At 40.1% G+C, this 26,477-nt stretch overlaps 1 protein-coding gene across 8 annotated transcripts in view; it reads left to right on the top strand.

Annotated features, from left to right (window-relative positions):
- Positions 1–26,477, top strand: part of DGKI (diacylglycerol kinase iota) — a 465,938-nt gene that overhangs the window by 422,834 nt on the left and 16,627 nt on the right. For all 8 annotated transcript variants that reach the window (XM_047421022.1, NM_001321708.2, XM_047421021.1 and 5 more), the window contains 2 exons: positions 11,934–11,971; positions 16,146–16,266. In XM_047421022.1, coding sequence (XP_047276978.1) covers positions 11,934–11,971; positions 16,146–16,266 — 159 coding nt within the window. The remainder of the gene's footprint in view (positions 1–11,933; positions 11,972–16,145; positions 16,267–26,477) is intronic.

The raw sequence follows: 26,477 nt of genomic DNA, 5'->3' as shown, positions 1-26,477 counted from the left end.
GATTTATTTTTACTTTTCTGAAATAAAATGCTTAATTTTTATATTCTTCCAAGTAATAACTGTCATATGCTTATATGGGGAAGATTCAAAATTAATGTTTTATTATAACCCAGTAGGGGTGGGTCTAGGGGAGGGATAGCATTAGGAGAAATACCTAAAGTAGATGATGGGTTGGTGGGTGCAGCAAACCACCACGGCAAGTGTATACCTATGTAAAGCTGCACATTCTGCACGTGTATCCCAGAACTTAAAGTATAATAAAAAATTGATAAATAAATAATGCAAATAATCTATATTTACAATAATAAGTGAGGGTATGCTCTTGACATTTTATTTATTTTTTAATTGTACACTTTTGCCGTATGTGCATTTTGCTGGTATGTCTCTGAACATGACCTTTGCTAAATTAACTCCTTCCTGACTTTACTTTTGTTCCAGTGAGGGGTGTTTGGCTGTTCTTCTTTTTGGTTTAAAAAGCCTTTATATTACAGAGTGGTCAGTTTGCTGCTAGTCACTGAGAAGAAATGTAATGTGTATCCTGATGACTGGATGACTTATAAGCTTATAATCTTTTTGAGCTCTAGTACATACTTAACTGTACTTGGCTTCTGACCTTAAACATCATTTTCCAAACAGTCTTGATGTTTGGTAAAACCAGTAACCATCCATTACTCTCAGGCCACATCAGACCTGCTTACAGATATCACTGGGTGAAACATGAGTACACTTGTTCACCCCAAGTTCCTTTCAGAGGCCTTGAAGGACACTGCTAAAACACATCCAGTGAGTTCAGGGACCCTGATCACAGGAAGAATGCCTGCCTGATGTTGGAGGAAGGGGTAAAGCCAACGCCTGAAGCTTTCTCTGTGCTTCTCTGTAACAGTCACCAGAGCTACAGGCCAGCAGCACTTTTCTTTTACATGGCACCTTCCTCTCATTTGTGGGGAAAATAAGGACTTTATTAGTTCTTCCATTTCTCTTACCCTCTCAGGATTATAGCTTTATCATCCAAATGCCAGGAAAGTAAAACAAAACAAAGTTAGACAATCTAAATTAAACTCTCTCAACATTATAGGGATGAAGGACCTTCAGAGTACTAGAACTTCTTAAAAAAAATCTCTTGCATTGCTACATCAGTTTCCAACACACATATTATTTCATTCAAATGTTAAGAAGGGGAAAAGAATGTTACAGTGTACTGTAATTATTTTAGGTTCATGATGAAAATGCTTTACAAGGGTGGGCGCGGTGGCTCACGCCTGTAATCCCAGCACTTTGGGAGGCTGAGGCGGGTGGATCACTAGGTCAGGAGATCGAGACCATCCTGGCTAACATGGTTAAAACCCGTCTCTACTAAAAATACAAAAAATTAGCCAGGTGTGGTGGCGGGCGCCTGTAGTCCCAGCTACTCGAGAGGCTGAGGCAGGAGAATTGCGTGAACCCGGGAGGCAGAGCTTGCAGTGAGCTGAGATGGCGCCACTGCACTCCAGTCTGGGTGAGAGTGCAAGACTCCATCTCAAAAAAAAAAAAAAAAAAAAAAAAAAAGAAAAGAAAAAGAAAATGCTTTACAAATATGAAAACTCCTCCCTGGTTTTTTTTGAAAGCTTAATGTTTGTCTAACAAAACCGTAAATAGGATTCTATAATATTGATGTTAGAAATGAATTTATATTTTTCTAGTTTTAAGGGAATAGCTGTATATTACTTTAGATGGTGGTACTATATAAAAATATGTTTTCCCATTACATCCAAAGGTGATGATATTAATTTATTGCTAGAGAAAGAATTGATATTGAGTTATAGAGATTTTCCAGAAGGTATTTTAAGACCCTTTGCTGGTCCTTTGTGACTGGCGTCATGTATGTTACACAGCAGGTTGAAAGTGACATGCTGTGATTCTGGAAGAGTGTGAGTCTATTGGCCCTGTAACCCATGAGCTTGTTTTCACTAACCCAGTGCTCAAAGCAAATTAATTCACCCACGAAGTTTGCTTTAACACTTATCTAAGCGTTACTATCAATGTTCTAGGAAGTAACAAGTATCATTGCTGATATACAGCTCTGAGTTGACTCATAAACATTTCTGATCTCATGAGATAGTTGCAGTGGTGTTTTGCTGTGTTTACTAGATGCAACTAACAAACACCATGAGATTTACAAAGAGATTTGAAGATATCTGTGTCTCCAAAATTGATTGCAAGGTGTAGCAGGGGCCAGTAAGGTGAGCTTTCTTCCACTCCCTAGAATGTCTTCCTCAATCCAGATTTTAAAGTGTATTGAAATGATAGCCGGCTGAATCACCAGGTCGAAAGGATCAACCAACTATTTATTAAGCACTTCATGTATTTTCTGTCCCATAGAGATTTCAGTGAAAGATATAGTGTGGATAAAACAAAGAGAAAAAAGTGTCCTCATGCTTATGACTTAATCGCAGAAGTGGAACTTAGACATGTGAAACAATTAAACAATTTCACAACAACAGATAAGCAAATGGGATGCTTTGGAGAGACATCTGGTCCCTGTGCTGTTTATAGCCAATTCCAGTGGTGAATAAAAGAAGTGGAACGAACTGCTTTTGAAGGGAGTGCATCCTGATCCTCTGGCAGCAAGGTAGAGGTTTTCTGCCAGGAGGGAACACTAGACGGAGGCTGTTTGTTTTTTCTCCAAACAGAAATCTCTTCCATGCTAATAGGAGCTTCAAAAGGATTGCCACAGCAGATGGAAAGAACCAATATATATTCATGCATTTAATTAGCAGGAATTAATTGAATTGGGGGATTAATTCTGTCATTAGAGAGAAACAAAACCTATTTTTGTCTCCCATCTATGGTTACACAATCTAAGATGGATTTGGCACAGGTGGTGTTTGAATATAAAGCCACCGTAGTATCTAATGGCCTTTTGATGCCACTGATGGATTAATCCCAGGGATGATGAGAAGGTAGCCATGTGAGATGTGTGCTCTGCACCATGTTTCAGCAGTGGAGGAGAAGCTGGTAGGTGGAGTGTGAGGGGTATAAACCTAGAATTCAGTGAGTGTTTGAAGGAGGAAAAAGGGGAGGAGATTGGGAGAGTCTCTTCTCTTACATCTGATTTTTTTTTCTTTTTCTTTTTCTTTTTTATTGAGACGGAATCTCACTCTGTCACTCAGGCTGGAGTGCAGTGGCGTGATCTCGGCTCACTGCAACCTCCGCCTCCTGGGTTCAAGCAATTCTCTTGTCTTAGCCTCCCAAGTAGCTGGGACTACAGGCTTCCACCGTCATGCCCAGCTAATTTTTGTATTTTTAGCAGAGACAAGTTTGTACCACGTTGGCCAGGCTGATCTCAAACTCCTGACCTCAGGTGATTCACCTGCCTCGGCCTCCCAAAGTGCTGGGATTACAGGCGTGGGCCACAGTGCTCGGTCACATCTGATTATTAATGAGAGATTAAGGACAGACACACCTAAGACAGAATTTTTAATTCAATCTAACAAGCACCCATTGCCTGGTCTTCCCCCTGCTTTTCTTTTTTTTTTTCTTCTCCAAAAATCTGTTCCTCCAGAAAAGCAGTTTTCATCCTTTTTAATTTTTAGGCCAAGATACTCATGACATAAACCAGATGACATTGTATGCATAACACATTCCCATAAGTGACATAGGTAAAAAGACTGTTGATTATACCCCTTTCCCAACACTGACAAGTCAACACCAGCCCTCCGACTCAAAGCACATCACAATTCAAGTATATGATGTGACAGTTTGTACTTTTCAAAAATAGCCATGGCATTTTCTCCCACCTACACACTCATCTTGCAATGTGACTTTGATGCTCTTTCCATTGAAATGTGGGATCTACGCTCTCTCTCCTTGTATATGCGCAAACGTGGACTTCAGCAGGAATGATACCTTGGGATTTCCAAGGCGAGGTGAGTTGATCACTGGGCTCTCTTGGGATGGTTGCTTTTGGAACCCAGCCACCATCTTATAAGAAAGCCCAAGAAGCACACGGGAAGCCCAGGAATCCCACATGAGAGGATCCAAGGCTCCTAGCCGATACCAGTACCCAGTTACTAGCCATGTGTCTGATCATATTTGAACTGGATCTTTCAGCTCTTAGTGGAGCAGCTCCAACTGCTGCCAGGTATAACAAAGACAAACTATCTCTGCAGAACGCTGCCCCAAATGCAGATTTTTGAGCAAAAGAAATAATTGGGTTTTAAGTCATATACTTTACCATGCAATAATAGATAGTTGATACAGAGTTGCATGTCATTAGAAGAATAATCTTAAATCTGTTCTAATATGTTAAAAACCTTCAGTAGTTTAACTTTTATTATAACAAATAATTTGTCACATGTCTTTTTACTGATTGTGAAAAAGTCCTCTAGGCCTAGATAAAAATGCAGAGGTCTTTAGAAATTTATATAATTCATTCTTTTTCTCACCTCATCTTGGACTTATTCAGTATGCCTATGTAGAATAATATTAATTACAGTCATTTTTCTTGAGCTGCTTCCCATTTATGCCTCATTAGCATAATTCACAGCGGTCATCCATACCTGTGAATTCGTGTTAGATTACCTTTGCTGTGTTTGATGATTATACTAAATTTCATTTTTTTGCGAGCTAAGCCTTCACAGTTTGTTGCTCATGTACCATGGCTGGCTGCTCACAAAATAGAAAAATTGGACAGAATGTTTCTGATAAGGTAAATACAGCAAAGGCTATGCAGAAATATGTATCTCAGAGAGTGAGCTATGGGGCAGCTATGGTATAAGTTATCTGGTAGCCACGCAAGAAGTAACGGATTGAATAAAGGCAAACTATGAAGACTTCAGTCATGATAAGATCAAGAGAATTATTTGTGTCACATTTGCGATGGATTTTGTCTCTGTTGGCACACACAAAAAGTTGGGCCTTAAAACTGTAAATTTACTTTAACTTCATTTTGTATGTCATGCATTCATGAAACTTTTTCCGGGGGTTATTTTCATTTTTGGCTGTCCTGCTCCAAGTTAAACAGAGGAGAAACAGCATCATATAGTGGAAGAAACTCAGACCTGGGGAAGGGGGGAGGCAAGTAAATGAAACAAGAGTCCTTTGTCTCTCAGCTGGATTGCTAAGTAATCTGTGTGATCCTGCAAAGGTCAGTTCAGATCTCAAGCCCTACTTTCCTCATCTATGAAATGAAAGGTTAGACTAAGACCAAATACACGCTAGAAAGTAGAGTATTATTACTCCTCAAGAAATAGTTTAGGGTTGTGACTCTTGCTTTGCACATGAAAATATTTAGGAGTAAAAGTTCACAGAACTTGGCAAAGCTAGATGCATTTATGATTCCCAGTGAATCAACTGATGTTTTTCCCTACGTCTTTTCAAGCCATTCTTTGTTTAGCAGTTTTTATATTTACTTTTATTTTTTTCTTCTATAATTTTGGAAAAAAAGAGTTAGCTGACTGCTACTATGGGCAGACAACAATGTGGTAATAGGATATTATTTTTAAAACTAAAAAAATAACTGAATATGAAAGATCAAACTTTTAAAAAATAGACATAAGTGTTCAGAGTTGTGATTCTATTTTGCATGTAACAATGTAGTTATTTCAGTTGCTTTATTGAGAATCACAAACATATATATATGGCTTTGCCAAGTTCTGTATACTTTTTATTCCCCAATATTGTCTTCTGTACAGCAATAATTACAACCTTAAGCCATCCCTTCAGAAGTAGTCATATGCCAACTTCTACCTTAGTCTAAAATAATTCTTTTTCTGTGTGATGGGGCTAAAAACATCAGTTCTCCCTGCTGCTCTCCACAGATGTCCAGGTACCTTAATGGTTAGGTTCTCTGTACCTTGAGCTTATTTGCAAGGCAGAGCCTCAAAAGAACTGCTTTTTAAATTTTTCCACTGATAGAACTGGAGCTTGGTAAACTAACTTGCCCAAGGTCATAGCAGTTAGTGATACTCACAGGACTTAAACCCAGGAGGTCTGAATGTAGACTCAATTATGGCATATCCCTTCCTAATAATAAGCCAGATTTTGTTTTGTACTTCTTGCCAAAATGTAACTCCATGATGACATTTGTTTTGTACATTGCTGCCTTCTTACTGCCTCAAACGGGGCCTGGCATGGTGGGAACAGGTGGGGATCTTAGTCTGTTCCTGCTGCTAGGACAAAATATCTTAGACTGGATCATGTTTAAGTAATAGAAATTTATTGCTCATGGTTCTGGATTCTGGGAAGACCAAGATCAAGGTGCTAGCAAATTACTCTCTGCTTCAAAGATGGAAAGCTCTTGCTGCATCCTCACATAATGGGAAAGCAAAAAGAAATGAAAACTGTGTCCTCACATGGTGGAAAAGATAGAAAGGACAGGCAGCTTTCTCAAGGCTCTTTTAGAAGGGCATTGATTTCCTTCATGAGGGTGGAGCCTTCGTGACTTAATCACTTCCTAAAAGGCCCCACCTCTTAATACCACACTGGGGATTAAGTTTCAACATGAATTTTGGAGGGTTTATACAAACATACAAATCACAGCAGCTGTCTTCTCCCTTTCCTGATTCCACATGACAGAAGCCATCTCTTCCTTCCGCACATGGATGTCTGAGCACATCCAGACTCTTGAGAGCCCAGACTTAAGAGAGAGAGGCTGTGAGAAGGAAGATGGCAGTTCTCTCCTGGAAGTCTTGACTTCTCAGTCCCAGTTTTCTGTGTTGGTATGTGTACTGAAAAACAATTTATTTGAAGATACAGCATAGAAGGAAAAATAAACCATTTCCTATGAAGTAATGATTCAACTTCTAACCTGTAAAAATGAAAAATTTCTCAGTTCCCTACGCCCTTGCATTCCTGTCTTCATAAGTTTGTGATTTAATTTTCCAAGAAACTTAATATTCATATACTTAAAAACTTTTATATCCATTAACAACTTGACTTTCCCTGCTTCTTTGAATTTTGGAGCATTGTTTCCTTAGTATGAAGGAGTTTTGAGAAAGGCAAGAAGACAAGCTCAGAGCTTAAGAAACTATGAAGAATAATATTGTAATCATAACAACTCATTATTTGTTTTTAAGCTCAATCCTTCAGAAGGTTATTATCTGGAGTTGAATAATAATAGATTCAGGCTCTTTTTATGTGGAGGAAATCTTAAACAACAGTGTTCATAGGGAAGGACATTAATCAGGAGAGAGAAGTGAGCCTTGTTTCTAATAATGTTTGCATAATAGCTACCCTTGGGTGTATTGCTTGACTTAAAATAAATATTCATGCTTTTCACATCCAGTACAATTGGAAACTACTCGTGGTTATGATTCTGTCATATGATCTTCTACCTATTCAAGGGGACTTCAAACTGGGAAGCTGTTGGAAACCAACAAACATAAATAACAATGCTTGGGAGCGATATGGGGTACAAGCTGAAAGATGCTATAATGTTGGCTATGGGGAGAAAAGGAGCGAAGAGTAGGAACTTAACTGTTTCCAGAGGGGGGGAAGCAGACTCACACTGACATGCTTAAGGACATTTATATGCTCTCCTGGTTTGCTTTTAGCTCTTCAATAGCTTCTCATCACCAGGAGAATAAAATTTAAGTGCCTTATCTTGGTGTCAGACTCACTCCTTGGAGTGGTTCCTGTGAAACCTTGGATCGCGTTACCTGAGACTACTCTCCACCTCAGATGTGGCAACACAAAGCTCTTTGCAGATTCCCTCAGACACCATGACTTACTTTTATCTCTTTGTTCACATCCTTCCTTCATCTTGCGAGGATTTTTCAAAGCTTCTTTGTTAATTAATCTATGTATCATTGAAGAGTCAGCTTAAACTTCACCTGCTTCAGGAAGCCTTCTATGAACTCCACACCTAGTCAAGAGTTTTACCCAGACTGTCCTATTTTTATTAACTTATATATTTAGTGATCCTTAAATAGCCTTTGTCCTGGGGAGTTTTTTCATCATCTTGCTTTATTGCTTACATGTACCTAATTTTATTACATAAATGCTTTCAGTTAGTTAATTCATTTTTCTTTCCTTTTCTGTCTCCTTTCTCCTTTCTTTCTCTGTTTCTCTCTCTCTCTTTTTATTAACTTTTAAATTCTGAGAAATGTTTCAATACAGTCTTGAGAACATAGGCTATTTTGTTGTTGTTTTTTTTGTTTGTTGGTTGGTTTTGAGACAGAGTCTCACTCTGTCGCTCAGGCTGGAGTGCAGTGGCATGATCTCGGCTCACTGCAACCTCTGCCTCCCAAGGGTTCAAGCAGTTCTCTGCCTCAGCCTCCTGAGTAGCTGGGATTACGGGCGCCCACCACCACACCTGGCCAATTTTTTATATTTTTTTATTTTTAGTAGAGACAGGGTTTCACCATCTTGGCCAGGCTGGTCTTGAACTCCTGACCTCGTGATCCACCTGCCTTGGCCTCCTGAAGTGCTGGGATTACAGATGTGAGCCACCATGCCTGGCTGAGAACATAGGCTATGTTTTGAACTTCTGTGTGTGTTACAAGGCTTTGCATTAACTGCTCCCTCATGCAACTTTCCTAACCTTCTTTCTCTCCTATTAGAGACATTCTGCTTCAGTCAGGAGAACATCCTATAGTATTAAAGTCCAAACTGATTTGTTCTCTTGGACCTGTGATTGCTAATACAGCTGTTACTCAGTATCTGTGGGGGATTAGTTCCAGGACCCCTTGCAGATACCAAAATCTACAGATGTTCAAGTCCCTGATCTAAAATAGCTCAGTATTTGCATATAGCCTTTGCACATCCTCCCGTACACTTCAAGTCGTCTTTAGATTACTTATAATACCTAATCTAATGCAAATGCTATATAAATAGTTGTTATACTGTATTTTTAAAATTTATTGTAATTTTTACTGTTGTATCATTATTATTATTTTTTGAATGTTTTCGATGTGAGGTTGGTTGAATCTGCAGATTTGGAACCTGCAGATACGGAGGGCTGGCTTTACTTTCCCCAGCCTCTCCTTCCTTGTCCTTCAACGCAGGGTTTTTGATAAACACCACATCCTTGGCTCATTATCTGTGCTTCTAATCCGATGGGTTCTATATTAACAGAGATATGTCTGCCCAGCTTCACATGCCAATTTTACCCTTATTGGTAGGCTCCTTCTGAAGGTCCATATGTCTTTTTCATGTACTTATGTGCAGTCACAAAATACTGAAAACTGTGCCTTCTGTTTATATAACATACCTATTTATAAAACACTTTAAAAATTTTATCCTAACTACCGAGAGGTGAGCAGTGCAGCTGTTAACCTCATTTGCAAATGGAGAATTGGTTCAAAACGATTGAATAACTTCCAAAATTTATGTGTCCAATAAATTGTAGCGATTAGAATTAGACTCCAGTTGAGAGCATTGTTCACATTACAAACCTGACAACAGTGTTTTTTTCACTGTCTGTAGGCCTTGCAGAGCCTAGTAGAGTTCTGTGCATGATGAACTCAATGGGGGCACTGGACACAGGCTCACACAGGGTCTGTATTATGGTGCTGATTTGGGCCTCTATACCTCCAGAGAATTAAGTTACTTTAAACTCCACTATGGACATTTATAAAAGGAAGAGTGAGACCCTGTGTTTTCATAGGGTTTTTTTTTTTTTTTTACACATAACACTTTGTTAATTCCCTTTCTCTTATTTTCATCTCTCTTTTCTTCTCTTTTTCTGTTTTCTTTTCAGTCAGTTCAACAATTAATTGGTGTGCACCTACAATGTGCAAAGCATTATGCTAGGGTTCACAGGGGAATGCAAAGAGGATGCTGCTTATAGCTTGTTATGGCGAGGCACTTTTCTTCTCTCCATTTTTCTCCATTCTTCTCTTCTTCCTACCTTCTTTTTCCTCTGATGTTCAAGTAGCCCTCATCATTTCTATAAATTTCCAAGGCTTCAGCGTTGGTCAAAGGGAAGGCACTCAGCCCAGGGGCAGTGAGTAAGTTTAACATTCTTATGGTCCTTTGCATCTGCTCACCCAGGACTCATACATACTCAATATAAAAGCTTTGGGGGTTTTGCTCAGTGACAGCTGGGGACTCTATGTAATTTAATGCATGATACAGCACTTTTGGCTAACTCTGTATGAGAGACTACTCAAATAGGAATAAAATATCACTTTGCAAAATACATTTAAATTATTTTTCTTCTAAAACTTTGTGACTTTAAAGCCTTAAAATCTATTTTTTGAAAGCCAAAAAATAACAGATGTTGGTGAGGCTGTGGGGAAAAGGGAATGCTTATACACTGTTGTTAGAAATTTAAATTAGTTTAGCCACTGTGGAAAGCAGTTTGGAGATTTCTCAAAGAACTTAAAGCAGAACTACCATTCGACCCAGCAATCCCATTACTGGGCATATACATAAAGGAAAAGTAATCATCCTACCAAAAACACATATGTACTCACTGTTCATCTTAGTACTATTTACAATAGTAAAGACCTGGAATCAACATAGGTGCCTATCAGCAGTGGAGCAGATAAAGAAAATGTGGTATATATACACCATGGAATACTACACAGTCATAAAAAAGAATGAAATCATGTCCTTTGTAACAACATGGGTGCAGCTGAAGACCATTATCCTAAGTGAATTAATGCAGAAACAGAAAACCAAATATTGCATCTTCTTACTTGTAAGTGGGAGCTAAATCTTGGGTACTCATGGACACAAAGATGGGAACAATAGACACTGGGAACTCTAGAAGGAGACAGGGAGGGGGACAAAGGCTGAAAAACCTCTTGTTGAGTACTATGTTCACTGTCTGGGTGACAGGATCAATAGAAGCTCAAACCTCAGCGTCATGCAATATATCCTTGTAACAAACCTGCACATGCATCCCCTGAATCTAAAATAAAAATGAATTTTTTTTTTTTTTTTTTTTTTGAGATGGAGTCTCACTCTGTCGCCTGGGCAGGAGGGCAGTGGCGCGATCTCCGCTCACTGCAACTCCACCTCTCGAATTCAAGCAATTCTCCTGCCTCAGCCTCCCGAGTAGCTGGGATTACAGGTGTGCCACCACTCTGGCTAATTTCTGTATTTTTGGTAGAGACGGGGTCTCACCATGTTGGCCAAGCTGGTCTTGAACTCCTGACCTCAAATGATCCACCCACCTTGGCTTCCCAAAGTACTGGGATTACAGGCATGAGCCACCATGCCTAGCCTCTCATTCCTCTTCTACACCCCACATAAGGTGCATGAATCATTAGACACGTATATTTTTTTTTCCCTAAGGCTACGTATTCCTAAAAGTAGTTTAAGTTACCTATTACCTCTAGGCTTTTTTTTCCATAAGAATCATCAATAAATTAAATGCCAAACACGTGGTTGTTTTCTCAAGCACACAATTAAAATAGACTTGATTCCTCTTTGCTGTCTCCAGTCCTCTTAATATTCATAGCAATAGGTATTTATCTATCATCACAAAACACACAAAAAGACTGGTGATTGCTTAAATCCCAAGAGGGCAAAGTAGAAGGAACTAGAAAGAAGGAAGCAAGTGCAATCATGATTAGGCAGTTACTCCGCATCTGTGGCTGGGTTAGGAACATTCATAGGACTTCATGAACCCTACTAAGTTACAACCTGCTCTTTTACAAATGTGGAAACTGAGGCTCAGAGGGGTTAAATGATTTGCCCAGTGTCCTACTGCTTAAAGTATCAGAGTTGAGATTTGAACCCAATTTGCGTGACTCCAGTTTTTAAAATATTTACTGTACCAAGGCTGGAGGGGGCACGCATGGGCCCTAGAAGGGTGCGTGGAATGGGTACCTGGGTGGGGAAGGGTTAAAGAGGGGGCCTCGGTCTGCTTCACCAAGATATTTTCCTTCCCTGATTCCTGCCCCAAATGTAGACTACTTATCCAAAATATGGATCCAACTTTGTGTAATATTTTAATAAGAGGGTCTTCTACTAATGGGACATCTCTCTTTTGTCTTTCACAGCAATTTTGCAGGCAGTAATAGCTGGTGATCTTATGAAGGTAAGATATCTTCCTACCAAATCTTTGGCGATGCTTTAAGAACTTTAAATCAACATCATTCCTCATCAAAACTCTATGTTCCCATCTATCATTTATCATCCCCTGCTTGCACTGGCTGGGTAGAAGAGGCAGGATGTTCTTTTGAGAACTGAGCAGAGATGGTGTTCAAGAGCACCGGGGTACTTGTCTCAGTTACTTAAAATGAACTGCATGTCCCCAGGATGCAATGTGCACAGTGTGCCTGCCCTCTAGAAGCTGACATTTGAAGAATTTAAAGATTTCCTTTCAGGCAGGTATTGAAATGAATGTATCTGTAAGAATTACCTGGGCAACACTCAGAAATGCATCCTTCAGGCCAGAGATTAATCTTTCCTTGTCGTGGTTTTATACTTTGGGGATCATAGTTAGTCAAACAAGGACTCTCATAGTTAGTCAAACAAGAACCCTGATCCCCTTGGAATAGTTTAATTTGTGTTTGTGTTTTCTGGTGAGTTTTGTTCAGAAGGAAGGAAGCGGTCACCACTGCCCTGAGGGTGAATGTAAAATCTGAAGTCAGACTTTCTAAGTTTGGATCTCGGCTCTACCATTCACTGTCTGTGTGATTTTGTGTAATTATTTGATTCTCTCTGTGCCTTAGTTTTTTCATCAGTAAAATGGAGTAATATTACCTCTCTCTTTGGCTTGTCATGAGGAATTAATGTAATAATACATATAAAGCTCTCAAGACTGTTCCTATTTCATGGAAGGGGCTCTAAAATGTTAGCTATTTTATTAATATTCTGATAGTGTAGATCTGTGTTTTTTAATAGCTAAACATGGTGGAAATACAAATATTTGTTATATAATATAACATCATCTATGAATATTCTAAAGCTATATTTGGTTTTCAGGCATCAGGCTGATGACTGCCCATATGCCCCTGCAAACCCCCTGCTGGAACTGATCTGCTCTGTATTAATGACAGCTGCCTGAAGGCAGAGGCTACGCCTGACTCCTCAGCCTGTGGAGTGAGGTGCCATTGCAGATCAAGGAACCAATAGCCCTAAGAGAAAGCTGAACAGTCCTACCCTCAGACATAACTTTTTTTAGGCGCATCTGTTGGACAAACTGAAGGACACCTGTGCTGCATTTTTCAACAGGTTACTAGAGGAAAACAAATGGTGAAAATGTTTGCAAACATCTTGATCAACTGCCCCCTTTAGGCACATAATCCTGAAAACGGTGCCTGTGCCACTGCCCAGATCATAGTGTCAATAGAAATTGTTACCCAGAAGAGAAGAGTGCTCTCCAAGCAGTATATTGATGAGTTCAGTGCCGTTTCTTACCAGTGGATTAAGCCCATACCATCCTGTACTCTGTGCAAGGCCTTCCATTAGGTTTTGTGGGAAACAAAGGCATGAATAAAATTGATTCCTGCCCTTGGTGGATTTCTACACCAGAAAATTTTGCAAAGCACTGTACATTTGAAACCCTTCCATTTTATTTTCTATATGCTTTTAGTTCAGGCAACTGATTTCCCAAGATCCTGAGTTTATTATCACACTTTTTTTTGTACTTTTAAATAAAGAATCATTTGCAATGTGGGAAATCACTATATCCAGCTGGTTGTCTTATTATAGGTTGGTGCAAAAGTAATTTGGTTTTTGTCATTTCAGTGACAAAACCTGCAATCATTTTTGCACCAACCTAATGCATTCTCTGTTATAATTCTTTCCTAAATGACTAAAACATGACTTAATAACACCTTATTTTGTTTTTGTTTTTGGAGATGGAGTCTCGCTCTGTCACCCAGGCTGGAGTGCAGTGGCACGATCTCGGCTCACTGCAAGCTCCGCCTCCCGGGTTCACGCCATTCTCCTGCCTTAGCCTCCCTAGTAGCTGGGACTACAGGTGCCTGCCACCACACCCAGCTAATTTTTTGTATTTTTACTTGAGACGGGGTTTCACCGTGTTAGCCAGGATGATCTCGATCTCCTGACCTTGTGATCCGCTTGCCTTGGCCTCCTGAAGTACTGGGATTACAGATGTGAGCCACCGCACCTGGCCAATAACACCTTATTTACTGAGAGATGGAATATTTACTGAGGGCTTAAGGTTTTACTTTTTCTCTCTTACATATTTTCTTATTTTCCTTCTCAAATATTCATGCCCTCTTCCTCTTCTCCAATATCTTTTGTTTCTTTCTTCTGAGCAGAAAGTGCAATATATATAAAATATTAAATGGGATACATGTGTATATGTTTGTATGAGAGAGAGGGAGAGAAAGAGAGAGAGAGAGAGAGACAAAGAGAGCGAGAGATAGAGACTAGCGAAGAGAACATCTCTGGAGCCACCCCTGTGTGAAGGCTGTCACAAATAGCTCCTGGACAACTGGGCTGCAGAAAGTGTCCGTGGACTAACTGAATGTTCATGGTGTCTAGAAACAGCACAGGAAGGCAGGATCAAGGCAGTTGACCCTGAACAGGTCCCATGCTGCTATCCTTTGTCGATCTCCCCACAAAGAAAGGGAGTGTCATTTTAAGACAACGCAGTTGAATGGAACAGGATATCCTTTTAGAGTTTTGTGGAAAATTGCTAGCTACTTCTTCCTGCCCTCTTGCCCCCCAGTTTAGGGATGTTCCTTACCTCCATTGTCCTTACCTCCATTCAGCTACTGCTTTGGATCCATGTCCTGGGAGGTCTTCCGTGGCTGTTTCCATCCCCTGCTTCATGCTTCCCTAGTGCTTCTCTGAGACCTTTGTGATGTTCCTGTCCATTACTGTGTGATTCTTTACCTATCCGTCTCCACCATGGGCTGTGAGGGCTTTGAGCACAGTGACTGAATTGTATTCACATTTATCTTCCTGGCATCTAGCACATGACAATTCTATGGATGTATTTGAGTGAAGACGTGAACTCTGAATTTAGGTTCTTTTTTTAAGAAAGTATTTTTAATTGACAAATGATTATACATATTAATAGAGTACATAGTGATGTTTTGATACGTATACAGTGATCAGATCAGGGTAATTAGCATATCCACCACCTCACACATTTATCATTTCTTTATGTTGGGAATGTTCAACATCCTCCTTCTAGCTATTTAAAACTATTTAATATATTATTAACTATAGTCATCCTACAATGGTATGGAACACTAGGACTTATTCTTTGCATTTAGGTCATTTATGCTCTTTCACCTTATGGGATGTTTGATTATCTATAATGTGTGCCATCTAACTTCTTGAGAGATAATGTGTTCCTTTTGCTTATTACCTGCTGGGTTATTTAATTCTCATTTGTCCTAAAATTACCTGTTAGAAGCTTCATGCAGGCACTCTTGTCATGAAATACTGTAGTTTGGAGATGAGGGACTCATTCACATTTTCTGTAATGTTCAATATTTTATAAACTTAGACCATATCCTCATGTAGCCACCTTATCCTCAGGCTACAAAATTCTGTTTTGTTTTTTTTTTCCAGTCTTCTCTCATATAGAAACTACTACATTTTCTGAATCATTTTGGGTCTCACTCTGTGGATTATCTCTAGCCTATTAGGTATGTGTTGGATGATTAACAGAAGGTTTGCAGGCTGGGCTGCATATCTGGATGAAGAAGGAAGCCAGATGTGTGTTCGTGTGTGTGCATGCATGCATGCGTGTGTATGTGTCTATACTTGTATTCAGTGATCTTACATGGGAGAAAAAGAAGCAGCTTTGATATTTGGTATATAGGTTCATAAGACTGAAGAAAAACTGAAGGACACAGGCAAGAAGCTTAGCTACAGTCACCAAGCTATTTCTGCTTATAGCCATAATTACTCTTTCACTCAGGAGAATGCTAAGCCAACATAGAGATGCTTTTGTTCTCCACTCCACCCCTCACTACTCCTTCGAGAGAGAGACCATAGAGACCAGTGCTCAGAAAATAAATGAAAAAAGTAATTCAGCATGATTCAGTTTCCCTAGCCTGTTCAATACCCACAGACTCTCTCCAGAGTTAGAAGAGACACTGGTCATCTCTGTGAGTGATAACACAGTCCAGGAATGTTACTTCACCTTTTTGACTTTTCTCTATGTCCTCTAAGGCTGGAAACATTGTGGTCTGCTACATGACTCTCATTTTATTACCGGTTAGCTGTTATCCTTGTTCCGAATTCTGCCTGAGCTTCTTTTTGTATGTCTCTCTTTGCAGCTAATAGAAAGCTATAAAAATGGAGGCAGTCTGCTAATTCAGGGACCAGACCACTGTTCACTCCTTCACTACGCAGCTAAAACCGGCAACGGGGAGATTGTGAAATATATCCTTGACCACGGTAAGTAGGCATAGTGAACTTACCAAGGATCACTTACCTGTGAAATCCATTGCATTTTGCATTTTCTAAGTTACCCTTCATCCAGGCAGTTTTCAGAATGGCAGAAATACTCTCGAACTTTTAGCAGACTCTGCCCCTGCTTATTTGAGGCAGTCGTGGTTGCAGACCACTGACACATACGGGCCATCCTATCCAAGCAATTAGTAGAAACAGTGTTCATACCAAGCTCTTTACAGGCTATTTTTCAGACTAATTAGTTTTTTTTTTTAAATAGAGGACAAAAATAAATGCAGCCTGGCATCGTGTGCTTTATTTTTTTCTAGAGCTCTTCTGTAAATTAATGGGTTGGGATTCCCTACCTCACCTGTATTTGCGGTTCATCGTTGTGAAGATTCATGAGGATAATTGTTTTGCATCTTTCCAGTTTCTCATTTTTTTTTCTGTTTGATCTCATTTATCTTTTCCACCCAAGTTACGCTTTATTCTCTTTGAAAATGTCTGGTACTATTGTGTTGTCTGTGGCAGATCATACTAACCTTCCAGACTGCTTTCTAACTGGATTTCTAATAGTTGGTGCCAGATCGTTTGCAGGAAGTAGCATGCGCTATAGCATCTGCCTCTAAAAACCCTTTGGAAGCATAAACATATTTAATGAATACCAAATCTAAACTGTTACATTGAATTTATCATGTTTTGTAGTATTTCTAGGAATAAAGAACAGGAATAAAGGGGAAAAATACTGCCTAGCTAGTCTGTTTTAAATGAGAAGGAATGAAAGAGTCTAATTCTGCTGGATCTTGGTATACAGAGAGATTGGAAAAGTTTCTTTGAGCCCTGACAGTCAGCCTGTGGCTGACTCCTTTTGTACCCAAATTCAGCCTGTAGATAGTAAGCATACTCATAAACATTCACATCCTTTTTGCTCCTTTTTTTTTTTTTTTTTTGCAATTCAGCAAGTATGTCTTATTCCATTCATTGATTCATTCATTTAACAAATATTTGTGTAGTGCCTAACAGGAGCTGCCTGTTATAGATGGTACACAGACAAAAATAAAATACAGTCACTGTTTTCAAGCAATTGCAGGCTAAAGAAAAAAATAAGATCATGTGTATAATTAAATTTAAAACCGATATATGGAGCTGTTTTAAGTCCTATGGTAAAGCCACAGATAGATAACATAGCTACCATTTATCAAGCACATATTTGCCAATTGTTTATAGTAAACACATCCCGTCATTTGACAAGGTCCTTGCAAGGTAGGTACTAAACTATCAATCACGTTAGACACCCCTTGCTTTGTCTTCAACACCTTCTCACTGTGAAGATTCTGCTTGAACCCTTGGTCTGAAATACGGTAGAAAGGGTGGGTTAGAAAAAGGAAAGACCATGAAAACAGGAGGGCTGCGATGACAGCATTTCTTTACTCCTTGTAGGCTGGGTTGGATAATCCCAAACCTGTCTGCCCTGGAAAGCCTAGGTAGATAGGATGTATTTTTGGTGCTAAGTCTGGGGCTTGTATCATTCCATCTCCTATTTCCCTGGCTATTCAGTCTCTTGCAGTTAAAAGCGTTCCTTTCTGGGCAAGAGTGAAGCCACACTAATATCTCAGGATTTCTACTGCACAAAGCTCAGGTGAGGGTTAGATGTATACTGTCACTTTATTTTTGTTTAGCTCAGGTTTAAAATTCTCCTATTTGCTGTCTTCTTGATCACTTCCAATCTACTCTCTTTAGTTTACCCTTTACCCAAGAGATTGAATGCTTGCTTGGATACCTTAAGCCATTTGGTGCCCACCTACCCTCTCTCTGGAGTTAGGTGAGACACTGGCCATCTATTTGAGTGACAACACAATCCAGGAATCTCTCTCTCCACACCCCCCCACCCATCTTTTCACCTTTCCTGGAGAAGCAGTATTTCCTCCCCTAGTCCTAGGATCCTCTCTGTATCCACCGTCTCACTTGGTCTCATTTAGGAGGCTGCAGTCAGCTCCTTTTTTTGATGAGGCTTTGTTGAAGATGGACTCTCACATGTTTGGGGCTTTCAGCTGGGAGGGCTGTGGAAGGCCAGGACACCTAAGCCTTTCTCAACACCTCGTCTTTTTTTCCCAAGATCCTTCACAGCATGGTAGTGCTGGGGTTCCCAGGGGTGAGAGTGGAAGCTCCCAGATGTCCTGAAGCTAAGCTGGGAAGTTCTGGATGATCTCTACTGCATTCTATTGGCTAAAACAAGTCACAGGGCCAGCCCAGATTTAAAAGGTTGGGAAACAGATTCCACTGTTTGATGGCATGAGCTGTGAAAAATTCATGGAGATATTTAATCTACCACACTCCCTTATGTCCCGGTCTCTGCAGTTTAAAGTGAACAATGTCCTAAACTTCTGACTCACCTGGAATCCCTTAGAGCTTCGTTTTTCTATTTGACTTTGGTTCTGGGTCTTAAGAACCCCAGTTTCACAAATAAAAATACAAGATGGCCGGGCATGGTGGGCCCATAGTCCCAGCTACTTGAGGCTGAGGCAGAAGGATTGCTTGAGCCCAGGAGGTGTAAGCTGAGTGAGCTAGAATTGCACCACTGCACTCCAGCCTGGGCAGCTGAGCCAGACTCTGTCTCTTGAAGAAAAAAAAATGATAACAATAATGAAGGTTTTAACATAAGTATAGCCCATGCAATATTTGAAATATGATTATACTAAAAATGAAAACAGCAGAACTCCTCATCTGAGTTGCCCCAGGGACATGAATGATGAGTCCTGTGCCCCAGGGACATGAATGATGAGTCCTGGGATGATATCACCTTAACACAGTAGCTTTTCACTTTCTCTACTTCCTCTCTTCCCCTGCGTCCAAAAATAGGGCCTTTAAAAGCACCGTTCATCCAAGCTCACAGGCCTTGGAGTTTCTAACCCCAAATATAGATCAGTACACACCTACTTTGCCTGGCATCAATTCATCTGGCACATTAGTCTCTGAGGGCCTTGATCAAAACCTAACATTCCAATACAAATCAGTTTCTCATCACCCCGCATTGACTCTTGCAAGACTGAGTCACACAATACCACTCCGCCCAAATGGAAGGACACAAAGGAATTCAGTCTTTTTTAGGGGGGTGGGGGTGCTTATTTTTCCAGTGCTTTGGTTAGATGTTATAAATTAATCAGCTTAATATTTATGCTCACGAGAAGAAACACAATGTTCACAGTAATCATCCTAACTTCACTTCCAGGCAAACAATTTCTGAGGTCTCAGAAGGCATCCTATACCTTTCCTGCCTCACCAGGATCTCTAATAGCACAGGAAGAAAGACTGTGGAGATGGGAGAGCACAATCCATCTCTTTTGTTTGTAAAGAAAATGTTATTATGATGTTCAGTCCAAGGATCACCGCATTTTTGATGGATGGCAATTTTTAACACTTTACTACTATAGCTGAATATGGAGACTTAAATGCAATTGATTCTTACTGAAATTAGTTTTTATCAACATTGATAGACATTGTCAATTTCATTTTTGATGTCTATCTTATCTTTTTTATTTATTCAGAAATACGGATGTAAAATCATTTGATATAGCCTAATTCACCTCATTCCACAAGAGCTAAACACTTCAGCTCAACTGTCGTTTTGTTTTTTAATATCTTTAGTTGCTGATTCAGTTTATATTAACCTTTGCATTTTATTGAAAACTATCATAGCAAAACCATTCCTCTCTTTTAGATGATAGAAACTCCTTTAAATTATAGTGTTCTTGAAGTCAGAGACAAGTACACAGAAAACATTACCCTTTTTCAATACTGTAATCACCTTCTTAAGGTGATCTCTCTTGATTGAAATACTCTCTCCTAACTTAGTAATGATGATAACTCTGGAATATCCTGACCTGACAAAGAAATCAGCCTTTCCAAGAGGCCTCAGTAAGTCTGGGATTTAGGGATGTATACCAGACTATGGCATTGTATTTTTAAATTAGCATCAGATTTGCAGTAGGTAAGTCTGATCAGTTTGAATTCATGTAAATGAAAAAAAAAATAACAAATAAAAATTTTACACTATGCCGAAGATCAAGAAAGACATTCCTCCTGGTTATTGAATATTGCAAATCTCTTAAAGCCTTTGTTGTTTATTTACTTATTTTTTACAATTTGGTTTATGTCTGTCCCATGGTTTCATATGACATAAATCTGAAAAATTGTTCAAAGACTTGACTGTAAGGATGCCTTTAGTAATAGCAATTCTGAAGGATTCACAGGCTCTTTGCCAGGTGCACAGCTGATGTTGTTTGTGGCTCTTGAGTTGACACTTCCTTTGCTTCCTGCAGCCTTACTCCTGAGCCCCTCTCCCCTCTGCTCTGCCCTCTTCTTCATTGGCTCTGGTCAGGAGTGTGGGCCGCCACCATCAAGAGGACACCTGAACAAGAGTCCTGAGATTAGTTATTCTCCCAGACACAACAAGCAGCAACTGATTTCTCTTCTATGGGCTCTTTTAAAGCAGGCTGGGGGCTGTGCCACATGAGATCTGCGGTATGTTCTGAAAGCGCCATGGGAGGCTTGAATTTTTTTCGGCTTGCATCTTCTTCCTTTGGATGTCTTCTCTCATCTATACAGCATGCTGCTTTCCTTTATGAAAAACTGGAATTTGGACATTTAGAGAGTTGAAAAGAGACTCGGGGAGGAAGAGTTAATAATTCCACAGAGACTGGGAGAGAGACTAAGGATGCAGGGATTCCAGCTGAGATTCCTCTCAGTGCTTCCCGCTTTTCAGCTCCTTTCAACCATATTTTCTGCCCGCTCCCTCCCCCCTCGTTTGCCCCTCCAACCCTCCAAGGGACTTTTGTGTTGTTTCTTTCCTTCGCCACCCTGCACACTCTGCTCTTTTGTTTTTATTCTCCCCACGCCTACCCCATTGCCTCCTACTGGTTTTCCTGATAGAAATCTCACTCATGCATTTCCTTTTTGATTTCAATGGGTTATTTTGTCTTCCCTCTTTTTCTGTCTTCAGTCTTTCTTTTCTCTTTTTTTAACCCCCCTTTTTCTGCCTCTGGTCCCAGAGAGAACTGACCACCATCCTGCTGGGACAGGATGACAGTACTGTTAGCATTCCCAGTGCCAGCTCTCCCCACATCTGTGCAGCTTTTGTCCTGTGGCAGGGGAGGATTTGGAATGGTCTGCTGGCAGCGTCAGGGAGACTAATGGGAAATGAGGGCCCAGAGAGAGGCCATGGGAAGTGGAAGGAATAGCAAAGGGGATTTGGAGGCATTGGTGTGGGAAGCAAATTAAAGGATGCATGTGACAAAAGGCACGTCATATATAATACAAATATAATATTGATGACAAAGTCACATCAGCGGGAGCTGGGGTATCCAACAGAAGAGCCTATGGAATGAGTACTGGGCAGCAACATTGTAATTTGGAAGGCCTGGCTGCTTAACACGATGTTCACTTTCTCATTTTGAAAGATTTGTGAAGTTTTGCTTCCTTTCGCATTCCCTGGGTGTCTCCTGAATACTGATGTGTATGTCCACTTAACAGAATTTTCTTTCCCTTAGCTTTCAGACCATTTCCCATATAGCACAGTCTTTTGAATCCATATTTCAATTGTGAATCTTTCTCTTAAAGTGATATTGGCTGGGATCCAAAATGGCTTTAAAATGTCGTTTATTCATTCATTCATTAAAACATTTTAATTCCGTCCCAGGCACTTTTGAGGAAAAAAAAGTTTCTGTAACAATCACTGCTAACCTCTTTGTTCTAAATGTTCTAAATGCATTATCATATTTAATTTTTACAACCCTATACAGTAAGCTCTCATCTCCGTTTGACAGGTGTTGAAAACTGAAGTATGGTGAAGTTAGGTTCCTTGCCAAAACTCATCCATACGTGAGAGATGGTCTGTGTCCTCCATATTCCTAATACCAGCAAGGGAAATGAAACATGGATAAATAACCACAATGCAGGGTGGCACCACGTGAATGTCGTAAGCAGAGTTCAAATGACAACTGATCTAGGGTTCTGGAAGAGCAGAGGCCGTTTTCATCTGAAATTTTCATGGAGAAATCTGCACCCATATCTCCTCAATAGGGATTTTATAGTATTTTTTCTGGTTCAGGTCAGCCAAAGGATGAAGGGTGGACATTTCAGTAAACCCTGGAAGAGACAGAGACCTGAGATTTCCTTTTCTATTGAGGAAACAACAGTGAATTCTCTGCTGACAATTTGATGATCTCCCTCGAAATTCCTTAGGGGAGATGGCATAGTGTCTGCAATCAGAACGTATGTGTATATAAAACAAGCCCCAAACTCAAATGTTACCCATTCATATATGTTGAAGGAATTCAATTATCTTTATTTTTATTTTTTTGAGACAGAATCTCACTCTGTCACCCAGGCTAGAGTGCAGTCATGGCTCACTGTAACTTTGATCTCCTGGGCTCAAGCAATCTTCCCTCCTTAGCCTCCCTAGTAGCTGGGACTACAGGCATGTACCACCACGCCCAGCTAATTTTTTTTTTTTTGTAGAGTTGGGGTCTTGCTATGTTACCCAGGCTGCTCTTGAATTCCTGGGCTCAAACAGTCCTCCCACCTGGCTGTCCCAAAGTGCTGGGATTACAGACGTGAACCACCGTGCCTGACTAGTCTTTATTTTTTTCTCTCTTGTTTTTCTCCTTTTGTCTCGTTTCCTTTATTAGTGAGACTCAAATTAACTTTTCAAAAATCACAGGTGTTATTGTTTCTACACTAAAAGTCACAGGGTACAGTTAAACTCCACATTGTACAGTTAAAGCATAGCTCCCCATTGGGCAGTGCAGGTTCAAATAAGGAGAAGAACAGCCTTGTCTTAGGCTTCTCCTGGCATCCACTCTCTGTAACTCCTTCCTTGCTAGCATTATGCAAACAGTTATCCTAAAGCAGGCCAAAAATGATTAGAAAATGTACCTGTGCTTTTAAAAATAGCTGCCCATTCCCATCTGTAGTCAGCTGGCTGCTACTTTTGCCTCTTCTTGGCCAGTGTTCAGAACATTCTGCTATTTTGTGATTATCTATGTTGATGGGAGAATAAGGAAAGTTGAAGTTAATTAAATTGATTATTTCAGAGCCATTCCCCAAACCTTTTAATGGGCATTTTTTTTTTAGATATTAATTATGAGCAAAAGTTTCTTGCCTTGTTATTAGTGCCTCTGCCTCTCACCTCTGTCAGCTGCAGAGGATGAAAGGGCGTGGAGGGAAGGAGAGTGATGGGTAGCCGCGGGCATGCCTGACTCACAGACTGGATAATCAGCTCTGGAATAATTCTGGGTAGTGACTCTGGTCAGAAATTGTGAAGAACAGCTTTCTTCCTTGTCCCCACCTTCATATTGTCAAATTATTGCTGTGCTAGCTCAATTAAAAGCCTTGAGGATCCCCTCACTTGCATAGAGGCTTAGACCCTGGATAACTGTGGACTCACCGTGGCATGGCTCTGAGAACACCGAATGACAGAGCTGAATGAAGGAGAAAAGTAAACAAGGCCCCTGTTGCCTAAATAGTTGTGCAATTAGCAGTACCAATGGGAACAGAGCTACTAATGAGTGTAGGCTGCTCATGTTCATGGAATTTCTTCCAAAAGGAGTGGCTTAGAATGTTCACTGAAGGCGACAGGCACTCTTTAAGAGGACCATTGGGTACTTAAGCCCCTTGCTGACGTGAAGAGTGCCCTGTTGGCAGCTAAATAGGCCTCAGGTGCTTGTTTCTCAGGACATAGAATTTGAGTCAACAAGTGTCTTCACATGTAAGTGGGAGTAAAGTGACCCTTTCATACCACATTCCTTCACTGATGATCCCATATCTTGATGTAGTGTGACCTGCTGTATCAGGACAGAGAATAGGACACTTCATGCTATCTAAAGTTGAAGCAGTACCTGTGGTGTGCCAGGCACTGTTTTAAGCACACTATGTGTATTGACTCTTTTCTTTCTTTCTTTTTTTTTTTTTTGAGAAGTCTTGCTCTGTCACCCAGGCTGTCACCCAGGCAGTGAGCACAATCTTGGCTCACTGCAACCTCTGCCTCCTGGATTCAAGCGATTTTCCTGCCTCAGCCTCCTGAGTAGATGGGATTACAGGCACACACCACCACGCTGGGCTAATTATTGTATTTTTAGTAGAGACGGGGTTCCACCATGTTGGTCAGGCTGGTCTCGAATTCCTGACCTCAAATGATCCACCCGCCTTGGCCTCCCAAAGTGCTGGGATAACAGGCGTGAGCCACCATGCCCAGCCCTCTTGAACTCTCACAACAACCCTGTGAGATAAATATTATTATTAATTTGACTTTACATGGGTGATAAACAAGGAGCTGAGAGATTAATTAGACTTGGCCAAGACCTAGTCTATATAGAGCTGGGATTTTTAACCAAGAAGGGACAGCTCCAGAAACCTCGCCCCTGGTCACTGTCCTGTGCTGCTCTGCACTTTTGTATGTGTGTGGGAGGATAAGGATCATTATTCATGTTTTCATAGAATCACAGGACCAAGGAACAAAGAGGTATGAGTTAAATCTTTGTTGTTTCCTTAATATAGGGTAGGTGCTAGAAGGATACAAAAAATAACTGAGGTGTTCTTATATTCAACAAATATAGAATAATTTATTTATGGAAGGCATGCATTCAAAAAGCAAATACATAGTATGAGGATAGAACCAAATAAGTGCTTTGGGAGCTGAGAGAAAGAATACATTCCTTCTGTCAAAGGTCATCTTTTGAGAGGACCTTGTCACAGACTAGCCTTTGAAGAACATGTCAGATTTAGATAGGTGGCTGTTCTGGATAGGGAGAGCTGGGAAAGCCTGAGAAATATGTGGTTGAGTGTGCAATTACCACTTTAGCTTTTGTGAAAAAAAAAAAAATGGAACCCTGGGAACAAATTGAGGAAATGTAGTTCCAGATGAAAGACTGTGAGCTCCAGTGTTTAAATACTTGCAAGTAAGCAGTAGATATGATGTATTGGAAACCTAGAAATCTAGATGATATAAGACCTTCTTATCTTTCTTGGTAACTACTTCTGCATGCTAATAATGTTCCAGGCAGATACTGGTTAGGAAGTCTATTTGTCAAATAGGACAAGCAGAAAAGACAAATAGGAGAGACTTTGCAAGAGAAGATTCACCTGGTCCCAGTGAATAGCAGGTGTGAAAGAGAAGAGGTCAAGATGATTTGGATGACCAGGAGAATTATGAAATCCCATAACATCTCTGTTATGTTGTCCTTGGCCAATGACTTTCATGGTAAGAGTGATAACCTCTTCCACCCCTTCTTACTATGCACAATAAGTTAATTTTTAATAATAATGATATCCACCAATAAAGAGAGCAAATTCCCAGGATCGTCTTTCTAAAGACAAAAATACTCAGTACCTTGAACTGTGTTTGGCACTTACAAGCATATTTATTCATCCATTCAATCAAATGTTTAAGCATCTACTTATCTCCAGGCTCTACACTAGACACCAAGGAATGACACAATGCTAGACAAAGCATGGGCCAAAACTTTAAGGGGTTTTCTGGAGTCTAGTTATAGGGAGAGATAAATCAGTAGGTTATTTTAAAACGGTTTGTTACGTGTCATGATCAGTATCATGATCATATATCCCCCCTTGCCTGGGGTGGTCCCAACTTGGATGATAAATCCCATTACCCATTCAACTATAGGAAATAGGGTCAGTACATAAAGTGAGGGATTGTATAGGCAGGTGTTTAATAAGCTGCTTGAAGTGGGATCATGAAGGGCTTTATGGGGAAAAAAAGTCTCATTGGATACCCATAGGCTGAAGAGGGCAAGAGATGGCAGGGAGAGAAGCAGTGGTACAGAGCTAGAAAGGAAGACATTCCAAGCAGTGTTTGTAGATTGAATGGATTAATTCATGAATACACAAAACATTGTGAAAGGGAAAATTCACAGAATATTTCCATTCCTAAGGATGCATCTATAGTCATTTGATGTATATGCATAGTATTTCTTTCTGGTCTGAGAAGGGAAATTTTATAAAAACTGGAATTGTACCCTAGATGATACGTATAGTATCTTACAGCCTTAATATTTTGCTTCATAAGACGCCATCCCAAGCAACTCGTTTGAGAATGAGAAATTGCCCTGATTCCTAAAGCCCACCTAATCTTCCCCTTTCTCCCTTGTTAGCCACTTAATTATTTTTCAGTTATTCTATTCCAGTTTTATTTCATAAACTTG

This window comes from Homo sapiens, chromosome 7 (genome assembly GCF_000001405.40).
Source record: "Homo sapiens chromosome 7, GRCh38.p14 Primary Assembly".
NCBI classification, from domain to species: domain Eukaryota; kingdom Metazoa; phylum Chordata; class Mammalia; order Primates; family Hominidae; genus Homo; species Homo sapiens.
This window is presented reverse-complemented; position numbering and strand designations above follow the sequence as displayed.